At 44.8% G+C, this 18,860-nt stretch overlaps 2 protein-coding genes and 1 long non-coding RNA gene across 20 annotated transcripts in view, besides 2 other annotated features; 1 reads left to right on the top strand and 2 right to left on the bottom strand.

Annotated features, from left to right (window-relative positions):
* Window positions 1-2,827, bottom strand: part of BPHL (biphenyl hydrolase like) — a 35,203-nt gene extending 32,376 nt beyond the window's left edge. For 3 of the 6 annotated variants that reach the window (NR_026649.2, XM_047419266.1, XM_047419267.1), the window contains exon 1: window positions 2,356-2,827. Coding sequence is in view for 4 of the 6 variants with exons in the window: in XM_047419266.1 (XP_047275222.1) it covers window positions 2,356-2,633 (278 nt within the window). In the remaining 2 variants the exon portion in view is untranslated. Of the gene's footprint in view, window positions 1-1,690; window positions 1,919-2,355 lie in introns of all 6 variants that reach the window. The other 3 variants (NR_026648.2, NM_001302777.1, NM_004332.4) reach the window with 2 other exon arrangements.
* Window positions 2,195-2,584: a silencer, noted in NCBI's record as "silent region_16845". NCBI's record gives its function as "represses an Ori minimal core promoter by ATAC-STARR-seq in GM12878 lymphoblastoid cells {active_cell/tissue: GM12878}" and the evidence as "EXISTENCE:reporter gene assay evidence [ECO:0000049][PMID:35858748]".
* On the top strand, window positions 2,556-15,781 carry LOC107986556 (uncharacterized). Its single transcript, XR_001743928.3, has 4 exons — window positions 2,556-3,414; window positions 11,807-11,901; window positions 13,306-13,401; window positions 14,412-15,781. It is a non-coding gene; the product is annotated as an uncharacterized LOC107986556 (long non-coding RNA).
* Window positions 2,623-3,258: an enhancer, noted in NCBI's record as "H3K27ac hESC enhancer chr6:3118179-3118814 (GRCh37/hg19 assembly coordinates)". NCBI's record gives its function as "activates a minimal SCP1, AML or CMV promoter by ChIP-STARR-seq in naive H9 embryonic stem cells {active_cell/tissue: H9 hESC(naive)}" and the evidence as "EXISTENCE:reporter gene assay evidence [ECO:0000049][PMID:30033119]".
* Window positions 6,016-18,860, bottom strand: part of RIPK1 (receptor interacting serine/threonine kinase 1) — a 51,221-nt gene continuing 38,376 nt past the window's right edge. For all 13 annotated transcript variants that reach the window (XM_047419447.1, XM_047419448.1, NM_001317061.3 and 10 more), the window contains 4 exons: window positions 16,888-16,978; window positions 15,152-15,721; window positions 10,248-10,400; window positions 6,016-8,150 (listed from right to left, as the gene is read on the bottom strand). In XM_047419447.1, the coding sequence (XP_047275403.1) occupies window positions 7,864-8,150; window positions 10,248-10,400; window positions 15,152-15,721; window positions 16,888-16,978 (1,101 nt within the window). In that variant the 3' untranslated portion in view covers window positions 6,016-7,863. The remainder of the gene's footprint in view (window positions 8,151-10,247; window positions 10,401-15,151; window positions 15,722-16,887; window positions 16,979-18,860) is intronic.

Below are 18,860 nucleotides of genomic sequence, written 5' to 3'. Positions count from 1 at the left end.
CTTCAGGGCTTGAAATTTGCATGAATCTTGATGAATTATTTTTACATCTCTTATATATTGTACTATTATATAAATATTCCCATTGTGCCTACTAATTACTTCATGTTTATTATATCCCCAGGCTTTTACATTTATTGTTTCAAATCCTCACAAAAACGCTGCAAGGCAGGAGGCTCAGAGAGGTTGAACAATCTGCCCACACTCACAGAGCTAGGAAGTGGCCACGGGGCCATTAGAACTCCAGAGGCCATGATTCCTCTCTAACCTCATGGCTGAACAGAGTCCTAAGAGGGCTCAGGCACCGGGGCCACACTCTGACTGCCAGATACAGCGTGGTGGCAAGCGTCAGCAGAAGGACAGTCTCTGATTCTCTGGCAGGGCATCCCAAGGTTGAACTTGGAAAATATTTTTTAGGAAGATTGTTAGGTTATGTGAATTATTAATATTTATAACTGCACATAATATCCAATTTCAGGTAGAAAAGGCTTTTCTTGACCTGACCCAGGAATAAATCACCTTACGGATTTTGAAATAAGGGTCAAAGTTCCAAACAGCAGACTTACAAACAAGTTTTTGGAACAAAAGTCAGTTGTAGGTTGGGCACTGGCTATTCTGAAGCAAAGTTTTTACACGAATCCTTTTACCTACTGACACTGAGCTACAGCTGCATTTCAGGATTAACTAATACCACTGCTTGTTTTCCCAGATTATATGTCATATCAACTTGCAGCTGCATTTATAAAACGGCCGTACAAAATCCAGAAAAACCTGTTTCTTCAGAGATATTTTAGGAAGAATGATCTGCAATGCAACTAGATGGATGGGGCCTTCCTCAACCATTAAATAACCTATCAGAACTATACTGGTAGGCCGAGAGCGGTGGCTCACGCCTGTAATCCCAGCACTTTGGGAGGCTGAGGCAGGTGGATCATTTGAGGTCAAGAGTTCGAGATCAGCTTGGCCAACATGGTGAAACCCCATCTCTACTAAAAACACAAAAATTAGCCGGGCATGGTGGCAGGTACCTGTAATCCCAGCTACTCGGGAGGCTGAGGCCACGAGAATCGCTTAAACCTGGGAGGCAGAGGTTGCAGTGAGCGAGATCACAACACTGCACTCCAGCATGGGCAAAAGAGCGAGAGTCAGTCTCAAAAAAAAAAAGAACTATATTGGTACAATCACAGTAACTTATTTCGATGCCTTTCTGCAGACAGGAAACTGGAAAAAATAATCATTTTCACTGTTAATTTATACAGCTGTAGCCATTAACATGTTTTTCCATCTATCAAAATAGCCCTGACCATCTTATAATAATTCTAAAATTAAAGGAGCTAGTCAATTGCAATATGAAATTTTAAAAGCTGGTCAGATTTGCCCTCTTTTCTCCTTCTAAATCAAGTTTTCAAACTAAAAGTTTCTATGTTGGATCAAGTACAGTTCTAAACGCTGTGTACCTATCTAGTACTGACTTTATGAAAGTAGCCCATCAACAGTCAACTGCGCACATGCACTGTGTACGTTCGTTGTATACGTGTGTTTGCATGTGTGTAGGGATGTATGTAGAGAATAAAGTAAAACAAGCTTCATGCCGCTCTATCCACATTTCTGCCCAGTATCTCTTGGGACCAAGAGTATCCATTTTCAAGACAGAAGGTCAGAAATTAATCCAGTTTTTTTGTTATTGTTTTACCTGAAATGGGGGGACAGGTGGGAGGACAAAAGAGAATAAAGCAGATTCCTGGGCATCTCCACACATGTAGATCAGATCCTCTGGGAGTGAGGCCCAGGATTCTGAATTTTCAGTTCCCAACGTGATTCTTTTGCACATTAAGGTACGAGATCAGCAAGCAAAGAGAAGACTTAGGGCTCTCGGGACCCGTGATTAAAGCCTTAGCGGTACTCAGGCTCAGGCTGATTTCTGACATAAGAGAAAGAAGAGATTATTGTCCTTATGCCCTTAGTGTGGACTCTGGACAGAGCAATGGACTAATGAGGGCGTTGGGATTCTAGTCCGTGCTCCGTCACGGGTGAGTCCATACTACAGGCAAATGTATCTCCCTGGGTCTCTCTGGTCTGCACACTGAAGGGGCTGCACTCTATAGCCCAAGCCTCCACGGCTCCAGACTCCTTGAACTGAGGCTGACCGAGGCGCATGCACGATCGAGGGGCTCGAGCACCAAGCGCGGCTGGCCCCCAGGATCGGGGTCTCGCGGCACAAAGGGCGACAGGGCAGCCAGGCCGCGCCCACGCCCCGTGCCCGCGCGCCGGGAACTCCTGCTGTCGGCACGCGCCCCTCCCGCCGCCCCTCGAGCGCGCCGATGCTGGGGATCCCCGGGGCGAGGTGGCCGCCATTACCCGAACGCGGCCGCGGGTCCGGCCCGTGGGACGTGGATCCCGGGCTTCAGCGCTGAGAGAAGCAGCCGCAGGCGCAACACGCCCCGGCCGCCCAGCACAGCCACCATGGTCACAGGTCGCGTAGCTGCCGGGAGTGCGCATGCGCTAAGACCAAGCGCGGTACCCGGCCCACTCTGCCCCGAAGCCACGCCCTCTGCTCCGCCCACCTCGCCTCTCCATCCTGCTCCGCCCTCTGCCCGCCCCGCCCCGAAGCCACGCCCTGCCGGGTGCTTTCCCATGGGCGACCGAAACTCGGCTCGTGGTTTCGCAGTCCTGGAACCGCCGGCACCCGCGTAGACCGTCCCCTCTCGGTGCTGGCTCTGGCTCCCGGGATGAGTGTCCCCGTCGGCGCTGCCCCGCCCTCGCTCGTCGCCTCAGCGACCATGGCCTTTCCAGGAGGCGAGGCCGCCAGCCATAGCGCCCTCGCTGCGTCGGCGTCCAGGCGGGACTCCGGAGTGGGCGGGGCTCCGGCTCTAGGCAGGCTGCTATGTTGGATCAAGTAAAGTTCTAAACGCTGTGCACCTATTTAGTACTGACTAGTACTAGGAAGTGTATTTGCTTTTCGGAGATGATGGGATCTAAATTTTGTTTATACCACTTCACGCCCATTAGGATGGCTACTAGCAAAACCCCCAGAAATTAGTGTTGGTGAAGATGTAGAGAAATTGAAGCCCTTGTATATTGCTGTTGGGAATGTAAAATGGTGCAGCCATGTGATGAACAATACTGCGGTTCCTCAACAAATCAGTTATATGATCCAGCATTTTCTTTTCTGGGTATATAACCCAAAAGAATTTAAAACAGGGTGTACAAGAAGAAATGTTTTTACACTCACGTTGACAGCGGCACTATTCACAATAGCCAAAAGGGTGGAGGCAATTTAAGTGTCCAAAAACAGATACATGGATAAGCAAAATGTTGTCTGTGCATGCAAGGGAACATTTTTTAGCCTGAACAAAGAACGAAATTCTGACACTTGCTACTACATGGATGAACCTGGAGGACACTATGCTGAGGGAGGTAAGCCAGTCAAAAAAAGACAAATACTGTGTGATTCCACTTATATAATAAGGTACCTAGAGGAGTCAAACTTATAGGGACAGAAAATAGAATGGGGGTTGTTGAGGGCTGGTGGAAGGGGGAATGGAAAGTTGGTGTTTCATGGGGACAGAGTTTCAGTTTGGAGAGATGAAAAAGTCCTGGGGATGGATTTTGGTGATGCCTGCATTACATTGTGAGTGTACTTACTGCCACTGAACTACACACCTAAAAGTGGTTTAAGTGGTAAGTTTTATGTATGTTTTACCACAATTAATTTTTTTTCTTTTGGCTGTATAATTGCAGCTTTATAAAGGTTATAGACATTATCTAATTGAAAGCTCAGTGGAGAAAAAAAACAACTATTGCTTTTTAAGTCAATCGTTCTGCCTTAATTGGAAATAACTGGCAGATTTGTGGCTACTGTTGTAGCCTTGGCTTGAATAATTGGAGACAACAGCTTCTTTGCATATTGCATTTCTTCTCCTCCAAGAGACCTTTTTGGTGTAACAGTCAGTCCTGTGAGCACAGTGCTTGTAGGTGTTACACTCATAGAAATTTCTGTCACCTGCAGTGTCCTCACTGGCCCATTGGACTTTCTTGAGTAGTAAAGGCAGTTTTGGCCTAAATACAGACTATGCAAAAGTTTTCATATTCTACTCTCAACATAAATCTATCACATTAATTCCTGCATAAAAGGAAAGAGACATATATAATGTTTGAGTTTAATATCGTTTGACTTTCAGAAATCTTTGGTGAGGTCAGTATTTCCTTTTTTCCTGATATGTTGATTGGGGTTTCATCTCAGAAATGATAAAAATAGCTGTCTGTACAGTTTCAACACCAGTTACCCTTGTGCTAATAAAAAACGGTAGCACTGAGTTTTAGGTTATTGGTGTCACAATTTTTTTTTTTTGAGACGGAGTTTTGGTCTTGTTGCCCAGGCTGGAGTGCAATGGCGCAATCTCAGCTCACTGTAACCTCTGCCTCGCAGGTTCAAGCAATTCTCCTGCCTCAGCCTCCTGAGTAGCTGAGATTACAAGCACCCGCCACCATGCCCGGCTAATTTTTGTAATTTTAGTAGAGACGAGGTTTTGCCATGTTGGCCAGGCTGGTCTCAAACTCCTGACCTCAGGTGATCCACCCGCCTCAGCCTCCTAAAGTGCTAGGATTACAGGTGTGTGCCACCGCGTCCAGCGTGGTGTCACTATTTTTAAGTAACATACCTGACAACCAGTTCTTTATATATAGCAAGATCGTACAGTTTAAAAAAACTGCCATTTTTGTGCCAGGCACCTTATGATATATCATATTTCTTTAATCTTCACATTAGCCTTCTGTGCTATTGCACTCTCCATTTATAGATGAGGCAACTGAGGCTAAGAAAGGTTAGGAAGCAAGCCCTAGGTAACACAGCTGAAAAGTAATTTTGAGCTGCTCAATTTCAGGACTCTATACTTGCATAATGACGGCGAAAGGTTAGGAAGCAAGGCCTGGGTAACACAGCTGAGAAGGGGCAGGGGGGAGTTTTGAGCTCTCAATTTCAGGACTCTATACTTGATGATGATGATGATGATTGCTATTATTATTGAGGCACGGTGTGATCACAGCTCCCCACAGCCTCAAACTCCTGGGCTCAAGTGATCCTCCCACCTTAGCCTGCCAAGAAGCTAGGACTACAGGCATACACCACCACACCTGGCTAATATTTTTTAATGTTTTTGTGGAGATAGGGTCTTGCTGTGTTGTCCACACTGGTCTCGAACTCATGGCCTCAAGCGATCCTCCCAGCTTGGCCTCCCAAAGTGCTGGGATTACAGGCATGAGCCACTATACCTGGTCGTATACTTGGATTATTGCATATTGTAAAAATCACTGTAGTAGCATTAACCTTTCAGTGATTTCTCTGAAATCAGCTGCTTCTAAAATCTTGAATATTTACACTATTTATGCCTTTATTATAATTAGAAAACCCTTTCCCTTTCATAAATACCACACATTAAAATGTACATCAAAATACTGCCTAAAATATTTTGTGATTTATTAAACATTTTATTCCTGAAACCCTAACCTCACGTGACAGACCCAAAGCAAAGATGATGATTGTAGCAACAAGTAGAAAATCTACCAAGCAGGACTGTGGGAGCTGGAAGGAGGTCTCCGTTACCAGCAATAACCTAGGGTGTGAGTATTTGTTTCCGAACCAAGTGCGGACAGTCTCGGTTCTGCTTTGCTGGTCTGTGTCGTCATTGGCTCTGCCCATTAACAGCAGTGTTCTTGTGGAGCTTGGGCCTTGTACCTAACTCCTCACAGGCAAACTTGGTTCTTCTCACCATGGTGCTGAGAGAGTGGGGGTGAAGGGAAGGCCCCAGAGCCAGGCGCGGGGACAGCAGTGCTGCAGGCCTCTCATCCTGAGCGCCAAAATGCACTGGCAGGGAGGTGTTCTTACCATCAGCATCCCGTCTCCTGCTTGGCAGCGGGAGGGTAAAAGGGGATTATGCTCAGGAAATGCGGCCTCAGTGGCAGAGGCACCATGGAGAATCCGCATCTGTCCCAGTGACACATCACATCAATAGCCTAAAGTTGTGGTATAAATTTTTATTTTAAAAAGTGTTAAAAAATGCCTTGCCCTCTTGCCTTTGAACATTAATTATTCAACCTCTTTGGAATCTAAGAGATTTGATAACACCATTTGGATGGTGGTACAAGGAGCAAACAGAACTCACCCAGGCCCCTCCAGCAAAGCCTGGAGCCTCCCTCCATTCTCCCTTTTGGGCTGTAGGAGCCAAGGCTGCGTGGTGGCCAAGTAGTAACCGGACAGGTGCAGACAGGAGAGCCGAGGCTCATTACTTTACAGCAGTGCTCTTCTCAACCGGGGCAATTTTCCCCTTTCCTTGGACCATTTGACAATGTTTAGAGACTATTGTCACAACTGGGGCGGGGGGCTGGGGAGAACAGTGCCCCTGGCATCTAGTAGGTGGGGGCAGGGATGCTACTAAACATCCTACAAGGAACAGGACAGTCCCCACAACAGAATTACCCAGGCCGAGATGCCGACAGTGGCAAGGCTGAGACAGCCTGCTCTGCAGCCCCATTTCAGGGGTGTGTATGTGTCTGCTAGAGTTGAGGGGATTCACAATCAGAATCAACAACACTGTTATCAGCCCAAGACACCAGAATCTGTTCCGACAGCCAGATTGACCATCACCACACCCTTCTCGCCCTCCCTCTGGGGAGAGCTAAGCACACAGCCTTCCTTGTCGGTTTAGCAAAATGCCAGTGGACACTGAGCGGCCTACCCAGCTTCAGTCTTCTATTCTAGTTCTTTCATCCACCCCCAGGTTTCAGGTGGGCTTTGAAAGGCTGGGTGCTAGAGGCACAATTACCACACTCAGAAGCTGTCCTTTTTCACTCTGGCACACAGAAAAAATATGAAAATACTTTCACAGTACACAGAGTAAACCGAGGAAGCCACTCAACAGTATCAGCCCTGAGGTTCTGGTCTCACCCAGGGGTAGAGATCAGCATTTCCTGTTCCCTCTCCAGGGCACTCAGGCTGGGTGAAGGTACCAGAATGCCAGGAAATAACTTTAAAAGTCAATCAAGAATTTTTGTTGTAGTCACGGTTAGTACCAATTCCTTGCAACAACTGCCTGGGAAATTCTGATGTTTCCCCCCTCCTTGGTACCCCTTTAAATCCATTCAGTTAATTTGAAGACTCAATATAAATTCAATTCATTAAAAAATAATCGATAATTTAATGGGCTGAAGACTGCACGTGGTTCTTAGAGCCTACAGTGGCTGACAGAGTATTGGGTATTAACGTTAACGGATCCTGTGATGTGGCGGTGAGCTGCAGCTGTGATCCACGAAGTCTCTGAACAGGGCTTAGAATCTGACTGCACTTTGTTTTTAACAGGAGCCTACGTGAAGAAGAGAGCACACAATTTTAAAAGTTGATTTTATATTCTCTGAGTTTTTCTTCTTGCTTCAACAAAACTCTAGGAAATGCCATAAGCTGAAAGAACATGACCTTCCTCAGACATCTCTTCTCTCCCTTTCCAAACACAACTAGGAGTCATTTTTTTATTGGTGCTATGCCATTAAGAGGTCTTCCTGCTTACGCTTTCCTCAGAGCGGATTGTTGGCTGGGCGCAGTGGCTCAGTGCCTGATATCCCAGCACTTTGGAAGGCCGAGGCGGGAGGATCACTTGAGTCCAGAAGTTTGAGACCAGCCTGGCAACAGAGTGAGACCCCTTTGCTGCAGATTTCTTTCCCCATTCTCCAGCTATGAAGTACAGGAAACAAAATTTCTGCAGACACAGAACCCCTATCAGTGAGGACAGAATTCTGAATGCTCTGAGGCAGCCAACTTTCTGGGGTTATCCACTAAGTGAGGCGTCCACTTCAGCTGCCGTAGCCCATCCAGGGTTAGTTCTGGCTGACGTAAATCAAGCTGCTCAGAAGGTCGATCCTGGAACACTGGTGGAGCGCCTGGGCCAGCTTCCCCACCGTGGCTCCCTTTATGCCTTCCCTCATCACCCACTTTTGGAGCATCTGGTAAACCTTTTCTTTCAGTCCATCTCGCTCATAGTCATGGTCAATTTCATCAATCTGAGACTGTGTGAAGCCCAGTTTACGGGCACAGTTTTTCCAGTGCTTTCCCAGATTTTCCCTGATTGGGTCCAGGTGTTTATCCGTCAGACTAGTGGTATTATCTGCCAAATGGGAAAAAGAAGAAGGTATCAAGCTAAAACCCATTCAAACATTCCAGCTTCCTGAATTGCTAAAAAACCCAAGTGAAATGAAGAGTACCAGAAGACAGTGAAAAAGATAACTTCTTAGTTATATAGCTGTTGATGCACTGGCAGACATTTCACATGCCTGCTAGCCCACATGGAGTCTTTATGTGAATTAGAATAGGGCATTCCCGGCCTGGCGTGGTGGCTCATGCCTATAATCCCAACACTTTGGGAGGCCAAGGCAGGAGGATCACTTGAACCCGGGAGTTCTAGACCAGTCCTGGGCAACACAGCAAGAACCTGTCTCTACCAAAAAAAAAATTTTTTTTAATTAGCTGGGTATGGTGGCACATGCCTGTAGTCCCAGTTACTGAGGAGGCTGAGACAGGAGGATCACTTGAACTCAGGAGTTCGAGGCTGCAGTGAGCCATGACTGTGCCCCTGTACTTCAGCCTGGGCCACAGAGCAGGATGTTGTCTCAAAAACAAAACAAAAAAGAATAAGGCATTCCTTCCTCCTAGTAGACACATCCCTGAGCCACAGCTGATGGCTCTGTGAACAAAACCCCTGTGTGGCTACGAGGTTGGGTGTTCTAGTCAATCTTAGCCAGTGATCCTGTTGGTATTAGACCTTCCTGGGTGTAAAGGGAAAACCACCATTTTTGTTCCTTTTAGACATTCTCCGCTTACATCTGGCCAGAGTTAAAGCCGCTCAACTCCTGACCACCACCCCGGCCCAACAGTTCACTTTCCTCTTACTTAATCAAGGAATTGTCCAGCAGGCGTGAACCCATTCAGTTACAAAGCCTTCCTTGTCTTTCAAGCGACGAGGTAACTATACTCTTCAAGGTCTGTTTTTGGACCCTAACCCCTCCTTTACTCCACCCCACTGCCGACCGACATTGCCTCTTCTCCAATAGCCATAACCTCTCTCCTTCTACTGGTTCCTTCCCTTCGCCCTTCATAAAAATAATAAAAGGAAACAAATGAAAATGTACAACAACCACAACAAAAAAAATTCCTTAATCCCCACACTACCTCATTAAACAGAATATAAGGAAGAAAACATTTCATTCTTCCTTCCCACCTCTCTTCTTTCCTCAGCCCTCTGTGATGTGGCTCTCTCTCTATCCATATCTTATAGATTGTCAGCAGTCCAAGAACTTCCCAAGATATTTTCCAAATTTTGTCAATATTTCTGTAGGGGGTAGATCCTGGGTTTCATTAGATTCTCACAGGTGCCCCTGACCATTCGCAAGTTCTGTTCTAGGTATTTTAAAAGCTGTCCTTCAAATGGGTTAGACCAGGGGTTGGCCAACTATGGCCTGTGGGCCAAATCTGACTCCTGCCAGCATTTGTAAATCCACTTTTATTGGAACACAGCCGTGCTCATTCATGTACATATTGTCTGTGGTTGCTTTTGCACTACAATAAGAGAGGTGAGTAGTTCCAAGAGACCTCAAAGCCAGCAGGGCCTAACATTTACTATTGGTTCCTTTACAGAAAAAAAAAAAAAAAGCGCCAATCCCATGGTTAATTAGAAAGCTGAGTTCTTAATCAAGTCGTTTTGGCCTCATGACTTTTTCCAGACTGTACTTTGGGATTAGCATTATGGGCTGCACCATAGAACCCTATAAGAGATAGCCCTCTTGATTTTATTACAGAAGTGCTGTGGAGGGCACAGTCTTCTATCTTTTACAGGATCTCCTTCGATGAGGGCCTGACACAGCTATTTCTTCTGGGTCTGAGAAGTAATACTGATGATGATGATGATGAAAGTTTAACACTTTTTATAGAACTTACTATGTGCCAGGCAGTGTTCTAAGCTTTTTATACATATCAACTCATTTAATTTTCACAACAAATCCATAAATTAAATACTGTGATTATCTCCATATTAAAAATAAATAAATGACAAAGGAATTATATGGAAATTACAAAGATATTTTGCAGAAGTAACATAAGAAAACTTTCAAGAAGAATTATCAGAGAAATTTTAAGATTCCACTATGTCCTTCTCACAAGTAAGAAAGTTCAAGGTTGCTAGGCGTTGAGTCCTTCCAGGGTATCTTACCAAAGATAGCTTGGTACTTAGCAGCTGGCTCTTCTTTGAAGTTCGTATTTGTGCTGTCTAGTAGTGATGAACTCGTCCCACCAATCTCCATATAATTGTAGGCTCCAATCTGAATGCCAGTACTATTGTATATGGTATATTTTATAGATTCATCTGCATAGAGAGAAACACACAGGTAAGTAATTCTAGATCAAAAGCAAGAGAAAAAAATACAGCATGGCAAAAAAGCAGGGCTTTATGCCAAACATTAAGTTAATTATCCTATGCCACCCTTTAAACTTTTCTTCTTTCAAATCTGGCTAAACCACCTCATACCCATTAGGATGCCTATGATTAAAAAAAAAAAAAGAAATAACACATATTGACAAAGATGTGGAAAAAATGAAGCCCTTGTGCACTGCTGGTGGGAATGTGAAATGGTGCAGCTGCTCCTATAAAGAGTATAGTGGGCCAGGTGCGGTGGCTCACACCTGTAATCCCAGCACTTTGGGAGGCTGATGCAGGTGATCACCTGAGGTCAGGAGTTCAAGACCAGCCTGGCCAACATGGTGAAACCCCTTCTCTACTAAAAATACAAAAATTAGCCAGGCGTGGTGGTGGGTGCCTGTAATCCCAGCTACTCAGGAGGCTGAGGCAGGAGAATCACTTGAACCCAGGAGGCGGAGCTTGCAGAGTGAGCCAAGATCGTGCCACTGCACTCCAGCCTGGTGATAGAGTGAGAGTCTGTCTCAAAAAAAAAAAAAAAAAAAAATCGTGATTCTTCAAAAAAATTAAAGATAGAATTACCATATGATCCAGCAATTCCGTTTCTGAGTATATACCCAAAAGAACTAAAACAGGGTGTTGAAGAAATATTTCTACCCACGTGTTCACTGCAGCATTATTCACAATAGCTAAAAGGTGGAAGTAAGCCAGGCACCCATGAGCAGATGAGTGGATAACCCAACTGTGGTCTAGCTACACAATGGAATAGTCAGCCTTGAAAAGGAAGGGAATCACATCACATGCTACAACATGCATGAAGCTTGAGGACATTTCCTAAGTGAATGAAGCCAGCCACAAAGAAAAATGCTGCATGGTTCCACTCACATGAGGTACCTAGACTGGTCAGAGTCACAGAAACAGAGAGTAGAATGGTGGTTGTCCGGGGCTGGGAGGGGAGCTGGGGAGTTGGTGTTTAATGGATACAGAGTTTTAGTTTTGCAAGATTAAAACAGTTATATAGATAGATGGTGGTGATGGTTGCATAACACTGTGAATGTTAGATAATGCCACTGTAAAAATGGTTGAAATGGTAAATTTTATGTTTTTGAATTTTACCATAAAAAAATGTGGCTAACACCAAGTCAGAAAACAGAAGTGGATGAACAACACAGCAAAGCTCAGCCACACTTCCCAGCGGGATCCCACGACTCTGAACAGCATCTGTGAAGGGTCCTCCTCCTTTACCTGATAAACTCAAACCTCTCAGGTTCAGTATTCAGAAGCTAGCCACAGCTCTGCCCTACCCTCTTGTCTCTGATCTTCCTTTCACTGTTTCCTCCCTGTCTCCACTCCAGAGACTCCAGTCCCACCAGATTTCCCACCGATCTGCTGACATGATGCTCCTGCCTCTGCCTGGACTGCTGACCTCCCCACGTGCTTCTCCCTGCTTGTGAGTTTCTGACATAGGCCCAGCACAAATTCCACCTCCTTCCATGAGCCTGCACTGTAATCCTAGACTCAGCACTCTGCCCTGCGCCGCTCTGTATCTGAGCTGGGTCTGTTTGACTTCTCCACTAGAATGTGAGTCCCAAGGGCAGCGACCACACCCACTTGTTTTTGTACTCCTTACACTCGCTAGCCTGGGCCTTGGTACGGGGCATGGGCTCAATGACATTCATGCTGAGCTGAATTTGTCAAGTGTTGGTACTGTCCCTAAAGAGCACTTGGCATATCTTTGTAGGAGAGAGAAGGTGGTTGAGAAGACAGTTCTGAGGAGGGAGGGAAATGAGTATCAGCTCAAGGTACCTCCGTCAGCACACCTGGCCCTAAGGTAGGCCACCCTCTGGACCAGGCACTGTGCTCATTTGTTACATTTTCTCTGAGGAAGCCAAGGAAACTAGGGACCCTCTCTACTGAAAGGTGTAAGAAATATAGGATGTGCACACACACGCCATCTGTGTGCAATTCAGGGTGTTCGTGAAGCTGCTGAAACTGGGGTCCTTGGAATCCTAGCAAGGAACCCCTGTGACAGTCTCTGAGGTGCCTTCCAGTGCTCAAGGCTGTCTAGGTGTTCTTTGCTGACAATGATAATAACAGTGCTAATAACAGCAGCTACCGTTTACTGAGCACTTACTCTGCGCATCGCCAGGCACAGTGGTAAGCTGCCTTACCCTGTTTAATCCTCCTGGCCCACCACCTCCAGCTTACACTGACACCGTGTTCGTCACTCACAGTCTGCGCTCACCGCGGGCTTACATGGAGGTTTATTTACCCTGCACCTCTCTACTTGGAAATCTGTGTTCTTGAATCAGTGCTTTCTGCCCAAATCTGACCACTGGAAAAACCATGAAAGTTACGAAGTGGAGAAACGAATGCAATACTAGAAACATACTAGAGCTGATAATATATAAATTTTCAGTTGTAACATTTTCATTTATAATTGAGGAGAATGAACTCTGGAGAGGCAAATGACTTTCCCAAAGTCACCCATATAGTGACCGGCACAAGCAGGACTAGACCTGGGTCTCCTGACTCTTAGCCCAGTGAGCTTTCCTTTTCTAACCTCACTTCAAGCAGCACAGTGAATAAAAAGCAGTGGGTCTAAGAGCTCTTTCACTGAAAGGAAGACATTTATTTTCCTTTTGTACTTACTGCATACACACCCTTCTTCTATGGTATGGCAAATTAGAAAACTCATATTTTGGTATAGAGTTAGGACTTTTTGATGATAAAAGCAAGCAGAAGACTTATTTAAATTTGCAAGGAGAAACTCAGCGTGTTCATTTACTAGCTTAGTACCTGGCAGGATCATCTTTGGGAGCAGAAACACAGAAAATTCTATTATCTATTGTAGATCCAAGCGCCCCTTTCCCACTGAAAGCATCTCAGAACCCTGAAGAAGCTGCATCCCTGTACATCTGTCACTGGCAGAACCAGGAACCAGAACGAGGTGAAAACACAAAGAGATTTCTGGCACTAAACGGGTGTATTTGGGTTGCTCATGTAGAAAAAAGATAAAAAATGACACATTAAATATTGGTTTAGGGTCTGCCTTCTGTCCACTAGGATTTAAACTGTGTGAGGGAAGGGACTCAGGCTGTTTGTTCAGTTATAGCTCCAGTGCCTGGAGAACTGCACGTCACAAAGTGGGAAGAGTTTTGGAATTTTTTTTTTTTTTTTTTTTTTTTTGCGACAGTCTCGCTCTGTCACCCAGGCTGGAGTGCAGTGGTGCAATCTCGGCTTACTGCAACCTCTGCCTCCCGGGTTCAAGTGATTCTCCTGCCTCACCCTCCCAAGTAGCTGGGATTACAGGCGCACGCCACTATGCCCAGCTTTTTTTTTTTTTTTTTTGTATTTTTAGTAGAGACGGGGTTTCACCGTGTTAGCCAGGATGGTCTCAATCTCCTGACCTCGTGATCTTCCCACCTCGGCCTCCCAAAGTGCTGGAATTACAGGCGTGAGCCACTGTGCCCAGCCAGTGGAATTTTTTTTTTTTTTTCGAGACACAATCTCACTCTGTTGCCCAGGCTGGAGTGCAGTGGCATGATCTCAGCTCACTGCAACGTCTGTCTCCAGGGTTCAAGTGATTCTCCTGCCTCAGCCTCCCTAGTAGCTGGGGCTAAAGGCATGCGCCACCACGCCTGGCTAATTTTTGTATTATTTAGTAGAGACAGGGTTTTACCATGTTAGCCAGGCTGGTCTCGAACTCCTGGCCTCAAGTGATCCACTCACCTCAGCCTCCCAAAGTGCTGAGATTACAGGCATAAGCCACCACACCTGGCCAACCATGGCCCCAGCTGAAATTTTTATTGACTTAATCATGAATGAATAAAATGATATGGCAATACTAATAAAAAATTTTATCCCCAACATGAAGGAAACAAAAGGACATTCTGCTCATAGGATTATACATGACTTGGATACTGCTTAATGTCTAATCCAATATTTTGCATTCTACAGATCTTATCATAAAACCTATGGAAGAAATCGAGGATGTTTGCATAGGACGTTTTTGGAGAATTTGGCCTTTTGAAAGAAAATGTAACTAAGCTCTGTGGTTCTGAAAGCTTCCTCTACCTGAGATGATTTCAAGATCTCCAGGACACCTGTGGGTATCATTGGTAGATGCTGTTCAGGTAGTTAAGGTGATGTTGGTGAGTATTATTTGATAAAAATGCTGGATATTACATTAACTCACTTCCATTCTAGACTGCCAGTAACTACTATCACCTACCTTTTACTTCACCTGATAGAGATATGGGAGTTAAAAGAAAATTTTTCATCACTAATGGTAGTCTTTGAGCTATATAAGGTCAGAAACAAAAATATCCAAGACTGATTTCTTACCTTCAAAAAGTAGCAAGCAAGGTAAAAGCAAATAAGCAGATAACTTCCCATTTATCAGAGATTGGGTGAAATAGGACTACTATGCACTCCAGGTTAGAGTCAAAGATGCCTGCCAGTCACAAGGACCTGTAACCCGATGCTTGCGGGCATCTGTGATGAATCCTAGCCCCAGATGAAATACTCCCAGACCAAGTGGTTTGGCAGGGTCCATTCCACAGGGGCAATTTGCATCTGGCAGCTGATGATGCCCTCTGTCCCCATTATAACCCACAATCTATAATAGAGCTGCTTGGTTGCTGTATTTTCTGAAAAATAAAAAAAGACAAGCTTGTGACTATCGAAGACCCATTTACCTGTTGGTGGCAAGGAGCTGAATGGCATGGTGGGTGTATTTCCTAGATAGTTGGTCTCAGGCACTGGGATATTATGCAGACTAGGCATATGACTTGGAATTGGCCTGTACCAAACTCTGGGACCTGCTGTTCCTGGATCCAGTGGTCTTGTTCCAAAGCCATGTGAGCTATATAATCCATTGTTCTGATACAGTACTTGAGGTTGGCTGGTGAGCCCTGAGGGCTGGTGCACTGCATTACCATGACTGGCTGCACTGGAATAAGCAGTGCCTTTTCCCTCTGTATTCTGAAAATTCTCGTAAGGTCTTTGCTGTGCAAAAGGGTCATGGGAGACCCTGCGTCTCCTTTCCTCCTCTCTGTTGTAAGCCACATTCTGTCTGGGCTGCTGTTTCGTCTGCCTGTCCATGCGGCTGCCATAAAGATGGTAGTTGGCTTCGTCTTGGAGTTTACTCTGCAGGCTGGGCTCATTCTCTTCTTGTGGGTGCTCCAGGGAAGGAGCAAACCAGGACTCCTCCACAGGACCCATCCCAAGTCCCTGGGAACTGTGCAGTGAACCAGGCTGTTCTGTGGCTGAGAAGAAATGATCAACATTAGAATGGGTGTCATGAAACATTAAAAAGTAAAATAAAATCTGAGCGCCGTCATGAATCTGTATCTCAAAGTAACACACAGAAAACAAGTACGAGACCAGTCCAAAGCATTTAGGAGATGGTCCTCTTCCCACAAGCTTTACAAATAATAATAGGAGCTCCTCGCTGGCAGTAAGAGAGTACTAGGAAAATTATAGCAAGCAAGAGAAAAGCGGCTGTTGCAGGGATGATCAAGGAAAAAAGGGACTTGGTTTGGAGCAGAGAAGGTGGTTGTCTCCTTGGAGCAATTCAGGTGGAAAATAAGATCTGTGGCTGGGTGCGGTGGCTCACGCCTGTAATCCTAGCACGTTGGGAGGCTGAGGCGGACGGATCACCTGAGGTCAGGAGTTCGAGACCAGCCTGGCCAACATGGCGAAACCCCATCTCTACTGAAAATACAAAAATTAGCCGGGCATGGTGGTGCATGCCTGTAATCCCTGCTGCTTGGGAGGCTGAGGCAGAAGAATCGCTTGAACCTGAAAGGCGGAGGTTGTAGTGAGCCAAGATCACACTACTGCACTCCAGCCGGGGTGACAGACTCTGTCTCCAAAAAAAAAAGATCTGCAGCAGCTCTGTCCTAAGCATGTCCCATGAATTCTTTCATTCTTGAAGAGCCCTATGAGAGGAGGAGCAATTATGATTTGATGAGTGAAGTTTAGAAGAGGTTAAGTAATTAGCCACAGATCAGGTAGCTAAGCGGCTTCAGTATCCTATACTCTGCCATCCCTTTTGTTACAGTGAAAAAAGTATCCCTACTTGACCTGAGACCAGCCTCTCTGCTTGTACCCTGGCTGTAAGTCACTCCGAGCTCCTCAGGGACTTTGCTCTCACATATGTCCCCTTCCTTCTTCTGAACTGTCACTTCTCCCCATCAGATATATTAGGCCTTTTGTTCAGAACACTCTATGACTGGTGAGCACACTGTTACTTCATATTTCAAATACATGTAACTTGACTCTCGAATATTATTATAAATTCCTGTAAGGCAGGTGTTCACTTTTATAGTTTCTTCTGTTTCCCATATGGTCCTGAATAGTCTTTTAGAGAGTGGAGTGAATGAGTAACCAAACAAATAAATGAATAGATTTTGACCATAGTGTAATTTACCTGAATTTGACCGGCTTGAAGGTACTGCCACACAATCAAGTTGAAGAGACTGCATTCTCTTCACAACTGCATTTTCGTTTGAATACTCTTTCTATAATTAAGAGCATAAATACACACTTTAGTGAACAGCAGGAAATAGAGTCCCAGAAAATTTTAACGAGAAGAATTCATATTTTCAGAAGGTAGAAATTTCACACAGATCTTACAAGTAGTAATTTTTTAAAATTAATGTTTTTCCCAAATAGCCAAAATGATCTTTAAAAAGAACAAGGTTGTAGGACTCACACTTCCTGATTTCAAAACTTACTACAAAGCTACAGTATTCAAAACAGCGTAGGACTGGCATAAAGACAGGCACATATGCCAGTGGGGCAGAATGGAAAGCCTAGGAATAAACCCTCCTATAAATGGCCAATTGATTTTTGACAAGGTTGCCAAGAGCATTCGATGGGGGAAAACTGAATATACACATATGAAATAATGAAGTTGGACCCTTATTTCATACCATATAAAAATTAACTCACAATGGATCAAAGACTTAATTTAAGGGCTAGTGCCACAAAAATTCTTAGAAGAAAACACAGGGAAAAAGCTTCATGACATTGGACTTGGCAGCGATTTCTTGGTTATGACACAAAAGCACAAACAAAAGTAAAGAGTAAAAATAATACATCAGAATTAAAAGCTTCTGTGCATCAAAGGATACTATGAAAAGAGTAAAAAGATAACCTACAGAATAAGGAAAAAATACTTTGGGAGGCCAAGGCAGGTGGATCCCATGAGGTCAGGAGTTCGAGACCTGCCAGGCCAACATGGTGAAACCTTGTCTCTACTAAAAATACAAAAACTAACCAGGCATGATGGTGTGTGCCTGTAGTCCTAGCTACTCGGGAGGCTGAGGCAGGAGTTATCTCTTGAACCTGGGAGGCAGAGGTTGCAGTGAACCAACATTCTGCCACTGCACTCCAGTCTGGGTGGCGACAGAGCAAGATTCTGTCTCCAAAAAAAAAATAAATAAATAAAATAAAATAATGGGGAAAAAGTTGCAAACAATATATATCTGAAAACGGATGAAATCCAGAACATAAAAAAAAAAAATCCTACAACTCAACAACAAAAAACAAACAACCCAATTCAAAAATGGGCAAAGAACTTGAATAGCAGTTTCTCCATAGAAGATATACAAATGGCCAATAAGCCATGAAGATGCTCAACATCATGAGTCATAGGGAAATGCAAGTCAAAACCACCATGAGGTACACTTTCACACTCCTTAGAGTGACTATAATATAAAAATGGTAAATAAAAAGTGTTGGTAAGATGGTGGAGAAATTAGAATCCTTGTGCATTGCTGGTGGGGAATATAAAATGGTGTAGCTACCATGTAAAACAATTTTAACAGTACTTAAAAGTTAAACATGGCCGGGCATGGGAGCTCACGCCTGTAATCCCAGCACTTTGGGACCTCAGATCACCTGAGGTTAGGAGTTTGAGACCAGCCTGGACAACATGGTGAAACCACCCCATCTCTACTAAAAATACAAAAAACTAGCCGGGCGTGGTGGTGTATGCCTGTAATCCCAGCTACTCGGGAAGGTGAGGCAGGAGAATCGCTTGAACCCGGGAGGCGGAGGTTGCAGTGAGCCGAGATGGTGCCACTGCATTCCAGCCTGGGCAACAGAGGGAGACTCTGTCTCAGAAAAACAAAAAGTTATACATAGAATTACCATATGATCTAGCAATTCCACACCCGGATATATATACCCCAAAGAACTGAAGGCAGGAACTCAAAATATGGTGCAGGTGTAGTATCCCTTATCCAAAATGCTTGGGATTAGAAGTGTTTTGGATTTTGGATTGTTTCCAATTTGGGAATATTTGCATGTACAGAATGACAGATCGTGGGGAGAGGACCTAAGTCTAAACATGAAGTTTATTTGTGTTTCATATGCACCTTATACACATAGCCTGAA

The sequence above is a fragment of the Homo sapiens genome, chromosome 6 (genome assembly GCF_000001405.40).
Source record: "Homo sapiens chromosome 6, GRCh38.p14 Primary Assembly".
NCBI classification, from domain to species: Eukaryota; Metazoa; Chordata; class Mammalia; order Primates; family Hominidae; genus Homo; species Homo sapiens.
The sequence above is the reverse complement of the archived record's forward strand: the minus strand, read 5'-3'. Positions and strand labels throughout refer to the sequence as shown.